We start from the raw sequence: 12502 nt of genomic DNA on the forward strand, positions 1-12502 counted from the left end.
CGGTGAATCTAAGAGGAGAGGATGGGGTAAGGCAGCAACAGCAACTCTACCACTGGAAGGGAGCCTTTGGTGGTCAAAGAAAGATCCCCTGGTGTCTATAACCTGACCAGGTGCAGAGTTTTAGAGAGGCCCCCTTCCCAATAGCGAGGTGATAGGACATCTGGCTTGCCACAAAGGTCTTTTTGACCAGACATGCCCTAGCTAAGGGATGTCCAAACACCAGAATGTGAGACCAACCTTCCATCAAAGTTAAACCTTTGACAAGGGAACAAATCTCAAAACTGATGTACCAGTCATGTAGCTAGCTGTAGAGCTTGCAACTTAATGGCAACAGCTGTCCAATTTCATGGAAAGTAACCAACTGGTTTTGAGGTTTGTTTGTTTTTTTCCCCTCCAGTTTTAATGTTATGTGTAATGTATTTAAACCCCTTTTTTAAATTTAAGTTCTAGGGTACATGTGCACAACATGCAGGCTTGTTACGTATGCATACATGTGCCATGTTGGTGTGCTGTACCCATTAGCTCGTCATTTACATTAGGTATTTCTCTTAATGCTATCCCTCCTCTCTTCCCCCTCCCCACAACAGGCCCCAGTGTGTGATGTTCACCGCCCTGTGTCCAAGTGTGCTCATTGTTCAGTTCCCACCTATGAGTGAGAACATGCAGTGTCTGGTTTTCTGTCCTTGCAATAGTTTGCTCAGAATGATGGTTTCCAGCTTCATCCATGTCCCTACAAAGGACATGAACTCATCCTTTTTAATGGCGGTATAGTATTCCATGGTGTATATGTGCCACGTTTTATTAATCCAGTCTATCATTGATGGGCATTTGGGTTGGTTCCAAGTCTCTGCTATTGTGAATAGTGCCGCAATAAACATACATATGCATGTGTCTTTATAGCAGCATGATTTATAATCCTTTGGGTATATATCCAGTAATGGGATCACTGGGTCAAGTGGTATTTCTAATTCTAGATCGTTGAGGAATCACCACACTGTCTTTTACAATGGTTGAACTAGTTTACACTCCCACCAACTGTGTAAAAGTGTTCCTGTTTCTCCACATCCTCTTTAGCACCTGTTGTTCCCTGACATTTTAATGATTGCCATTCTAACTGGTGTGAGATGGTATCTCATTGTGGTTTTGATTTGCATTTCTCTGATGGCCAGTGATGATGAGCATTTTTTCATGTGTCTGTTGGCTGCATAAATGTCTTCTTTTGAGAAGTGTCTGTTCATGTCCTTCGCCCACTTTTTGATGGGGTTGTTTGATTTTTTCTTGTAAATTTGTTTAAGTTCTTTGTAGAATCTGGATATTAGCCCTTTGTCAGATGGGTAGAAGCCAAATGATGAGTGAACTCCCATTCACAATTGCTTGAAAGAGAATAAAATACCTAGGAATCCAACTTACAAGGGATGTGAAGGACCTCTTCAAGGAGAAGTACAAACCACTGCTCAACAAAATAAAAGAGGACACAGACAAATGGAAGAACATTCCATGCTTATGAATAGGAAGAATCAATATTGTGAAAATGACCATACTGCCCAAGGTAATTTATAGGTTCAGTGCCATCCCCATCAAGCTACCAATGACTTTCTTCACAAAATTGGGAAAAACTACTTTAAAGTTCATATGGAACCAAAAAAGAGCCCGCATTGCCAAGACAGTCCTAAGCAAAAAGAACAAAGCTGGAGGCATCACGCTACCTGACTTTAAACTATACTACAAGGCTTCGGTAACCAAAACAGCATGGTACTGGTACCAAAACAGAGATAGACACTAATGGAATGGAACAGAGGCCTCAGAAATAACACCACACATCTACAACCATCTGATCTTTGACAAACACAAGAAATGAAGAAAGCATTCCCTGTTTAATAAGTGGGGCTGGGAAAACTGGCTAACTATATTTAGAAAGCTGAAACTGCATCCCTTCCTTACACCTTATACAAAAGTTAATTTTTTTTTTTTTTGAGACAGGGTCTTGCTCTGTCACCCAGGCTGGAGTGCAGTGGCGCGATCTCAGCTCACTGCAATCTCCACCTCCTGGGTTGAAGTGATTCTCCTGCCTCAGTCTCCCGAGTAGCTGGGATTACAGGCACCCGCCACCACGCCTGGCTAATTTTTGTATTTTTAGTAGAGATGGGGTTTCACCTTGTTGGCCAGGTTGGTCTCAAACTCCTGACCTCAGGTGATCCACCCACCTTGGCCTCCCAAAGTCCTAGGATTACAGGCGTGAGCCACCACGCCAGGCCTAAACCCTTATTTAACTAAAACTTGTTTTCAGAAAAAAATAAATCTGAGGATGTGTTACATGTCCCCCTTTTACTTAGTGACAGTCCCAGGCACACACGAGCTTGTCATTAACAATATTCATCAATTTAAGAGTTGATCAGAGAAGGTCATACAAGAATCCAATCTCAGTGGAATTAAAGGAAAAATTTTTGCTAAGCAGAAAATAAATGAGAACTGTACATTTAAAATAAATAAATGAACAGAAAGCCTTTCAAATCGTACTAAACTAACTTATATCTGTGGCTACTACATTGTTGTTCTTTAATGCTTAAATAGGTAAAAGCACTGATGTTTTAGTTGAAACTACCAGCAGTAGGAATGCTTGCTCAGTAAGAGCAAGACCCCACTAACACAGTCATATTTATAAAGTCAAGGTTTAGGTGTCTGCCAGGGTCTGTTTTCCCTAAATCTATTACAAACAAATGAAAGCAAATCAGTAAATACTGTTTTAATGTACCTATACCGAGTCATAAAATTATTTTCCTCCCAAGTCAGGAAGAAACATAAAGTTGGTTAACTGAAAAAGAGAAAGTTTAATCATTCTGATTTTCATTCTGATGCTCTTCTTTAGACTATCTATTGCTGCTTTCTTTTGTAGCAGAACAGCTGATTTTCCGCCTAGGTTTTCATGATCTGATAAACCTTCACCATAGACAGTTTCTTGGAAAGAAACTCTGGAAGTGTCAGTTATCTTTAAATGTTCAGGAAGCTGCGTGGGTCTCAGACCCAGCTGGAGCAGAGCCAGCACGGGATTCTGAAAGCATTTGCAGGCTCTGAGATGGTTTTAACCTGTTCCTTGGCAGTGCAGCCCTTGTGTACACTCTTGGAAAGATACTGATGTTTACTTTCATGATGTAGAATGGATGAGCAGTGAAGGTTTCTAGGAAGGTTGAACACACTCATGCCCACTTTGGGACACAAGGAGGCAGATGCTCTCATGGGAACTCTTCAAATAAGGTCGTATGGTTTGGCTGTATCCTCACCCAGATCTCATCTTGAATTGTAGTTCCCATAATCTCGTGTGTTGTGGGAGGGACTCGATGGGAGGTAATTGAATCATGGGGGCAGTTACCCTGATTCTGTTCTTGTAATAGTGAGTTTTCATGAGATCTTTACACTTGATTAATGTTAACTGTAGTTGTCCTACTGATCTATCGAACACCAAGTCTTATTTCTTCTAAGTGTATTTGTACCCATTAATCTACTGCTCTTCATTCCCCATCCCCACTACCCTTCCCAGCCTCCGGTAACCACTAGTCTACTCTCTATCCTCATGAGATTCAGTTTTGTAGCTCCCACATATGAGTGAGAACATGCGACATTGTCTTTCTGTGCTTTGCTTGTTTCACTGAACATAATGACCCCCAGTTTCATCCATCTTGCTCCAAATGACAGGATTTAATTCTTTTTATGGCTGGATAATATTCTATTGTGTATTTTTACCACACTTTCTTTTTAAATATTTATTATTATTTTGTAGAGACAGAGTCCTGCTATGTTGTCCAGGCTGGTCTCAAACTCCTGGACTCAAGCGATCCACCTGCCTTGGCCTCCACATTTTCTTTATTCATCCATTGATGGACACTTAGGTTGATTCCATATTTTGTCTATTATGGATAGTGCTGCAATAAACATGCAAGTACAGATCTCTCTTCAATATATTGGTTTTCTTTCTTTTAGAGAAATACTCAGTAGTGGAATTGCTGGATCATATAGTATTCTACTTTTACATTTTTGAGGAACCTCTGAAGTGTTTTCTATAGTGGCTGTACTAATTTACATTCCCACCAACAATGTGTGAGGATTTTTCTTTCTCTGCATCCTCACCAGCATGTTATTCCCTGTCTTTTTTGATAAAAGCTATTCTAATTGGGGTGAGATTATACCTCATCGTGGTTTTGATTTGCATTTTCTGGATAATTACTGATGTTGAGCACTTCTTATACCCTTTGTTCATTTGTCCTCTGTTGAGAAATACCTGTTCAGGCCTTTTGCCCTTTTTAAAATCAGATTAATGACTTTTTGCTATTGAGTTGTTTGAGCTCCTTATATATTCTGGTTATTTATCTTGTCAGATGGGTAGTTTGCAAATACTTTCTCTCATTCTATGGGTTGTTTCTTCACCTTGTTTGAGTGTTTCCTTTGCTGTGCAGAAGCTTTTCAGCTTGATGTAATCCCATTTGTCCATTTTCGTTTTTGTTGCCTATGCTTTTGAGAACTTAAACAAAAAATTTTTGCCCAGACCAATGTCCTGGAGCATTTCCCCAATGTTTTCTTTTATTAGTTTTATAATTTCAGGTGTTAGATTTAAGTCTAAATCCATTTGTATTTGATATTTGTACATGGTGAGAGATAGAGGTCTAGTTTCATTCTTCTACATACAGTTGTCCAGTTTTCCCAGTGCCATTTATTGAAGAGACTGTCCTTTCCCTGTTGCATATTGTTGGCACCTCTGTCAAAAATTAGTTGGCTGCAAATGGCATGGATTTATATCTGGGTTCACTATTCTGTTCAGTCGGTGTTTGTGTCTGTTTTTTATGCCAGTACCGTGCTGATCTGGCTACTATAGCCTTGTAGTATATTTTTAAGTCAAGTAGTGTGAGGCCTCCAGCTTTGCTCTTTTTGCTCAAGATTGCTTTGGTTATTTGTGGTTCCATATAAAATTTAGGATTGTCTGCTCTGTTTCTATGGGGAATATTGTTGGTATTTTGATAGGGATTACATTGAATCAGTAAACTGCTTTGGGTAGGATTGTCATTTTAACAATATTCTTTCAATCCATGAGCATGGAATAATATCTTCTCCATTTTTTGATTCATCTTCTATTTATTTAATCAGTTTTTTATAGTGATCCTTGTAAAGATCTTTCACAGCTTTGGTTAAATTGATTCTCAGGGGCCAGGCACAGTGGCTGACACCTGCAATCCCAACACTTCGAGAGGCCAAAGCGGGAGAATTGCTTGAGCCCAGGAGTTTGAGGCCAGCCTGGGCAGCATAGTGTGACCTCATCTCTAAAAAAAAATCAAAATATTAGCCAGACGTGGTGGCATGTGCCTGTGGTTGCAGCTACTTGGGAGGCTGAAGTCAGAGGATCGCTTGAGACCAAGAAATCAAGACTGCAGTGCTCACTGCATTGGTGACAGAGTGCAAACCTGGGTGACAGAGCAAAACCCTGTCTCAAAAAAAAAAACAAAATATTCCTGGGTATTTTACATTCTGTGTAGATACAATAAATTAGATTACTTTCTTTCTTTTTCAGATTGTTCACTATTGGTATATATAAATGCTACTGAATTTTGTATGTTGGCTTTGTATCCTGCAGCTTTACTGAATTCACTTATTACTTCTAATAGTTTTTTGGTTTTTAAAAATAGAAGATCCTGTCGTTTACATTCAAAGCGAATTTGACTTCTTTCTTTCCAATATGAACACCTTTATTTTTTTTTCTTGACTAACTGGCCAGGACTTCCGCTTTATGTTGAATGAAAGTAGTGAAAGTGCACCCCCTTGTCTTGTTCCAGATCTTAGTGGAAAGCCTTTTAGGTTTTCCCTGTTTGGTATGATGTTGGCTGTGGATTTATCATATATGGCCTTTATTATTTTGAGGTATGTTTCCTCTGTACCCGGTTTGTTGAGGGTTTTTATCAAAAGGGATATTGAATTTTATTGAATACTTTTCAGCACTTATTGAAATGATCATATGGTTTTTGTTCTTGGTTCTGTTAATGTGTATCACATTTACTGATTTGCATATGCTGAACCATCTTTGCATCCCTGGGGTGAATCCCACTTGATAATGTTGAATGATCTTTTTAATATCTTGCTGAATTCAGTTTGTTAATATTTTTTGTTGAGGATTTTTCTATCTGTGTTCATCAGTGAAATTAGCCTATTGTTGTCTTTTTTTTTTTTTTTTTTTTTTTTGGTGGCCTTATCTGGTTTTGGTATCAGGGTAATGCCCGCCTTGCCGGATGAGTTTGAGCATTCCTTCCTCTTCAATTTTTTTTTTTTTGAAGACTTTGAGTAGAATTATTATAGTTCTTCTTGAAATGTTTAATAGAATTAATCAGATCCTCGACTTTTCTTTGATAGGAGAGTTTTAATTATAGCTTTGATCTTATTACTTGCTATTGGTTTGTCGAGGTTTTCTCTTTCTTCGTGGTTCAATTTTGGTTGTATATGTCCAGGAATGTATCTTTGTCTTCTAGATTTTTCAATTTGTTGGCAATTGTCTCTAATGATTCTTTGTACTCCTATGGTCTCTGTTGTTTTGTATCTTTTTTGTTTCTGATTTTATTTATTTGGGTCCTCTCTTTTTAGTTAGTCTTGCTAAAGTTTTGTCAGTTTTTTTTTAACTAAACTTTTGTTTTGTTGATCTTCAGTAATGTTTTAATCTCAATTTCATTTATTTTTGCTCTGATCTTTATTATTTCCTTTCTCCTAGTAAATTTGGGTTTGGCTTGGTCTTGCTTTTCTAGTTCCTTGAGATGCTCCATTATTAGTCCATTATTAGGTTGTCTTTTGGTAGTCTTTCAACTTTTTTGATGTAGATGTTTATTGCTATAAACCTCCCTCTTAGTACTGTGTTTACTGTATCCCATAGATTTGGATATGTTGTGTTTCTATTTTTATTTGTTTTGAGAAATTTTTAAATGTTCTTATTTCTTCATCAACTCATTGTTTATTCAGGAGCATGTTGTTTAATTTCCATGTTTTTGTTTAATTTCCAAAGGTTTTTTTGTTTTGTTTTTTTTTTTGAGATGGAGTCTCCCTCTGTCATCCAGGCTGGAGTGCAGTGGTGCAATCTGCAACCTCCACCTCCTGGGTTCAAGTGATTCTCCTGCCTCAGCCTCCCAAGTAGCTGGGATTACAGGTGTACACCACCACACCCAGCTAATTTTTGTATTTTTAATGAGACAGGGTTTTGCCATGTTAGTCAGGCTGGTCCCGAACTCCTGACATCAGATGATCCACCCACCTCAGCCTCCCAAAGTACTGGGATTACAGGCATGAGCCACCACACCTAGCCCAAAATTCCTCTTGTTATTGATATCTAGTTTTATTCCATTGTGGTCAGAAAGGATACTTGATATGATTTCTACTTTTAAAAATTTGTTGAGACTTGTTTTGTGGCCTAAAATATGGTTTATTCTGGGGAATGTTCCATGTACTGATGAAACGTGTATTCTGAATAGTTGAGTGAAGTGTGTTTTATAAATATCAGTTGGACCTATTTGGTCTGATGTGTAGTTTGATACAATGGTTTCTTTGTTAATTTTCTGTCTAGATGATCTGTTCATTGGTGAAAATGGGGTATTTGACGTCCTCCACTATTATTGTATTATAATCTCTCTCTCTCTTTGTATCTATTAATGTTTGCTTTATATACTTGGGAGCTGAATTTCAGTCCATCAAATGTATTAATCAGTTCTAAGATTTCTGTTTGATTTTTTGAATAATGTCTCTTTGTTAAATTTCTCTGATAAATTTCTGAATGGAGAATTACCGTTTTGTTTCTTGTTTTCTGGTTGTTTTGTAACTCTTCTCCTCCTTTCTTCCTGTCATCCTTTATGGTTAAGTGACTTTCTCTGGTACTATGTTTTAATTTGTTGGGGTTTTTTTTAGTGTGTTTATCATAGGTTTTTACATTGTGGTTACCATGAGGCTTATAGAAAACATCTTATAGATAAAACAAGTTATTTTAAAGAGATGACAGCTTATCTTAGATAAGCAGTCCCCAGTCTGTTTTGGCGCCAGGGACCAGTTTCATGGAAGACATTTTTTCCATAGATCAGGCAGTGGGGATGGTTTTGGGATGAAACTGTTCTACCTCAGATCATCAGGCATTAGATCCTCATAAGGAACGCTCAACCTAGATCCTTCGCACTTGCAGTTCACAATAGGGTTTGCACTCTTATGAGAATCTATGCTGCTAATGATCTGACAGGAGGTGGAGCAGGCAGTGCTGTGTGACCTGGTTCCTAACATGCGACGGACCAGTACTGGTCCATGGCTCAGGAGTTGGAGATCCCTGTCTTAGATCACAAAAAAAAGAATAAATAAAAAACTTTAAAACAACCCTCCATCTTTAATTCCATCCCCTGACATTTTGACTTTTGTGGGCCTGAATTTACGTATTTTGATATTGCCTATCTCTTAACAGATTGCTGTAGCTGTTAGGGTTTTTGATAGATTTGTCTTCTAGGTGTCATACTAGAATTATGGGTAACTTATGGGTGGACTGCACATGACAATTAGAGTATTTGAATATTCTGGGGGTTTCTATACTTGATGTTACCTGTAGGTTTTATACCTTCAAATGTTTTCTTTTTGCACATTAATGTTTTTTCATTTCAGATTGAAGAACCATCTTTAACATTTCTTGTAAGACAGATCTAGTAGTGGTAAATTCTCTTAGCTTTTGTTTGTCAGAAAAAGACTATCTCTCCTTCATACTTGAAGGATATTTCTGCTGTTTGCTGGATAAAGTATTTGAGGATAGCAGGGTTTTTTGGGGTTTTTTCTTTCAGCACTTTGAAAATATCATTCCACTTCCTCCTGACTTACGGTTTCCATTGAGAAGTGTGTTGCCAACTGAAGTGGAGTTTCTTTGTATGTTATATCCTCCTTTTTTCTTGCTGCTTTTAGTATCCTCTTTTTGTCCTTGACCTTTGAGAGTTTTATTATTATATGCCTTGGGTGTAGTTTTATTTGGGTCAAATCTGTTTAGTGTTTTCTGACCTTCCTCTACCTGGATATTTTTCTCATATTTTGGAAAGTTTTCTGTTATTATTTATTGAGTAAGCTTTTTTCTACCCCTCACTCTTGCTCAACTTTCTCTTGAACACCAATAATTCTTAGATTTGGTCTTTTAAGGTAATTTTCTATATCTTGTAGGCAATCTTTGTATAATATATTTCCATTCATTTTACTTTTTCTCCTCTATGTAATTTCAAAGAGCCTGTCTTTGGGCTGACTGATTCTTTCCTCTGCTTGATGCATTCTGCTGTTGAGAGCCTCCAATAAATTTTTCAGTTAGCAAATATATTTTTCAATTTCAAGATTCGTTTGATTTTTTATCACTTCAATCTCTGTTAAATTCCTCTGATAAGTTTCTGAATTGCTTTTCTTTGTTGTCTTGGAGATCCCTGAGTTTCTGTGAAACTGCTATTTTGAATTCTTGGTCAGAGAGCTCATGAATCACCATCTCATTAGGGTCAGTCACTGGTTCCTTGCTTTATACATTTGGGGAGGTCATGGTTCCATGTTCTTATGGATATATGTCTGTGTCTTTGCATTAAAGGATTTATTATTTATTCCAATCTTCTCTGTCTAGTCTGTTTTGGTTTTTACTGGTATGTTTGCTTAGAGATTATTTGTAATTTAGCTGTTGAATTTCTTACACATTTTTCCCGCTAGGTCACTGCCTCTTTTTCAGCACTAAATGGTACTTAAAACCCAGGTTTGCCTCTGTTCTTCTAGCAAAGGATCAGAGGATTGCCTGGCTGGAATGGGGGAGGTTGCAAAGGAGCTATCCCTGTGGTATGGAAAGGCTGGCTAGGAGTTCATGCCCAAGAGACCTGTGGAATCTACCTCCTACAGCATAGTGCTGCCGAACACCCACTCTGATTTGGCGTCTCCTTTGGTTGAGTTACAGAGCGGAGCTTCCAGGGCTGGAGATGGTAATCCTGCCTCCTTCCTTTGTGTCCGGCTGTCCACAGGGTGGTATCTCCCTTCAGGCACTCCTGATGCTTCTCATGGGTTGAGGCATGGATAGGTCTCCTGCCAAAGAAGCCAAGATGGTAGGCAAGTTGTGTGTCCAACTTAATCTCACTTTTTCCAGTGTAGAATCTGAGTTGGGGGAAGTTTTACATGTGCTTGATACCAAGCAGATTGGGGGAAGGGTGTCACAGATATGAAAATCTGATTCTCTTACTGTCTGCTGGAGTTTTTTTTTTTTTTTTTTTTTTTTTTTTTACTTCTCAGTGGCCCCAGGAACTGACCGATTCTCTTTCATGAGTTCTGAGAGATTGCTGGTGATAATCTCGATGGTGTATATTTATTTTGGTTATTCTGTGGGGAGAAGTGAAGCCAGCTTTCATCTACATTTTTAAAGTATAATTCTTATTTTGAGTGGCAAGAATCTGATTCCAGTATCCTGCCTTAGTTTTTATGCATTTTTGAAATTCCTACCATTGCATTTAGAACCTTCTACCTGGTGGAGTTTTTTTTTTGTTTGTTTTTTGTTTTTCAGTTTTGGAAGTATTTGATTTTTTGAAACAGTTGACATTCATATAAAGAACAAGGTTGATAATCAAGCCTGCTCTAGTAATTCTGTGCAGTCTAGAAAAGAGTGTACTGGGGCCGGGCGCGGTGGCTCACACCTGTAATCCCAGCCCTTTGGGAGGCCGAGGCATGCAGATCACAAGGTCAGGAGATCAAGACCATCCTGGCTAACACGGTGAAACCGCATCTCTACTGAAAATACAAAAATTAGCTGGACGTGGTGGAGGCTGAGGCAGGAGAATGGCGTGAACCCGGGAGGCGGAGCTTGCAGCGTGCCGAGATGGCGCCACTGTGCTCCAGCCTGGGTGACAGAGCGAAACTCCGTCTCAAAAAAAAAAAAGAGTGTACTGGTTAAGTACTGAGAAGCATTTCCTGTGTGTCTCATGTAAGTACTTCAGGCTCTTAAATGTGTTACTCCAAGGAATAAGGTTGCAAATACAGTTGCTCTAAAAACATATTATACCAGCCTGGCCAACATGGTGAAACCCCATCTCTACTAAAAATGCAAAAATTAGCTGGGCATGGTGGTACACACCTGTAATCCCAGCTGCTTGGGAGGCTGAGGCAGGAGAATCACCTGAACCTGGGAGGCGGAGGTTGCAGTGAGCTGAGATCGCGCCACTGCACTCCAGCCTGGGCTACAGAGCAAGACTCCGTCTCAAAAAAGAAAAAAAATTACATAAAATTCCGAGATGCAGCTTTCTTATCTAAAAAGGATTTGCGCAAAGCCTCCTTGCAGTAAGCATATAGGTAACTAAGGTGTCTACCTTACGTATATGCATCACTCATTTATGCCCTAAGTTCTCATTTGTTAAAACAATAGTGCCCTTACTCTAAATCACATAATCACAAGAGCCCTAGGGCTGAATTGCTCAGCTTTAAATGTCAGCACTGTCATACTAGCTGTGTGATGTGAGCAAGTTCTAAAACTCCCTGTGCTTGTTTCTTATGTATACAATGGAGAGAAGGGGTAGTACTTTGTAGGGTTGTTGTGAAGTTTAAACAAGGTAATAACTGTTAAGTGTTTTTAAAAGTCCCTTGAATGTAACAATTGCATCAGTGGTAAGGTATGCATTTTTCTCATATGGCCTCTGAAATGAGGATGTGTCTTATAATGAATGTAATTTCTTAATAAGCATTTTATCATTTAGTGACATCTTTTTTATTAGTAGTACTTAATGTTACACTTTGGGTGACATTTTATATTTCAATAACTAATAGTAAGAGGTCTATTAACATTAGCTGCCATCAACATTACCATCAATATTATCATCAGCATTATCTTGTTTCTAACTGAGATAGTGGCATTTGATAGTTTAGCAGTGCTAGAGTATATATCAAATCTCAATTTTATCTAACTACTTGTTTGCATTGGTGTATTTTTATCAAAGTTCTAGTGTGCTGTTTTTCATATTTGTATCATTTTAGCTAATGTAAAGTATTTATGGGGTCAGCTCATGCAATGTTTCCGTCATTCATTGTACCTTACTTGGCGATCTACTAAAACATGCATCAGCATCCTTCAGTCTCCCGAAATAAATAGACACAAAGACAAATTCTTTATTTTCTCTGTTGATGTATTTTCCTAAATCGTTTCGCAGGAGTGGTTTCTTTCTTAGCTAGGAGAACTAAGCCACCATTGTACCACTTAAGATTTACTGGTTTGCACTGTCCTCTGAGGGAGAAAAGAAGCAATTTATTGATCTGTAACACAGGAATGGACTGTGGCCAAACCTTTTCTGGTTTATACAATGCACCGACATAAGAATCTGCATAGCATTAAGAAGAATGAGCACTCACAATTTGAGGCCGCCTGTCAGCATGAATAATAACTGAGAAAAATCAATACACAATATACAACTGTTCTCTTTGCACAGACACTGCCAGGATTCACACCCAGTGACAGTGTCTTCTTTTTTTT

General features: G+C 38.4%; 1 protein-coding gene across 45 annotated transcripts in view, besides 2 other annotated features; it reads left to right on the forward strand.

Moving 5' to 3' along the window:
- The window catches only part of KANK1 (KN motif and ankyrin repeat domains 1), a 275809-nt gene that overhangs the window by 190412 nt on the left and 72895 nt on the right, over nt 1-12502 (forward strand). For 4 of the 45 annotated variants that reach the window (XM_047423046.1, XM_047423070.1, XM_047423064.1 and 1 more), the window contains exon 1: nt 1293-1549. The exons of the other annotated variants lie outside the window; for them this stretch is intronic. The gene's annotated coding sequence lies outside the window, so the exon portion shown is untranslated. Of the gene's footprint in view, nt 1-1292; nt 1550-12502 lie in introns of those variants that run through there. 45 annotated transcript variants of the gene reach the window in all.
- Nucleotides 10308-10808: an enhancer, noted in NCBI's record as "H3K4me1 hESC enhancer chr9:671014-671514 (GRCh37/hg19 assembly coordinates)". NCBI's record gives its function as "activates a minimal SCP1, AML or CMV promoter by ChIP-STARR-seq in naive H9 embryonic stem cells {active_cell/tissue: H9 hESC(naive)}" and the evidence as "EXISTENCE:reporter gene assay evidence [ECO:0000049][PMID:30033119]".
- Nucleotides 10809-11309: an enhancer, noted in NCBI's record as "H3K4me1 hESC enhancer chr9:671515-672015 (GRCh37/hg19 assembly coordinates)". NCBI's record gives its function as "activates a minimal SCP1, AML or CMV promoter by ChIP-STARR-seq in naive H9 embryonic stem cells {active_cell/tissue: H9 hESC(naive)}" and the evidence as "EXISTENCE:reporter gene assay evidence [ECO:0000049][PMID:30033119]".

The sequence above is a fragment of the Homo sapiens genome, chromosome 9 (assembly GCF_000001405.40).
Source record: "Homo sapiens chromosome 9, GRCh38.p14 Primary Assembly".
Classification (NCBI taxonomy): domain Eukaryota; kingdom Metazoa; phylum Chordata; class Mammalia; order Primates; family Hominidae; genus Homo; species Homo sapiens.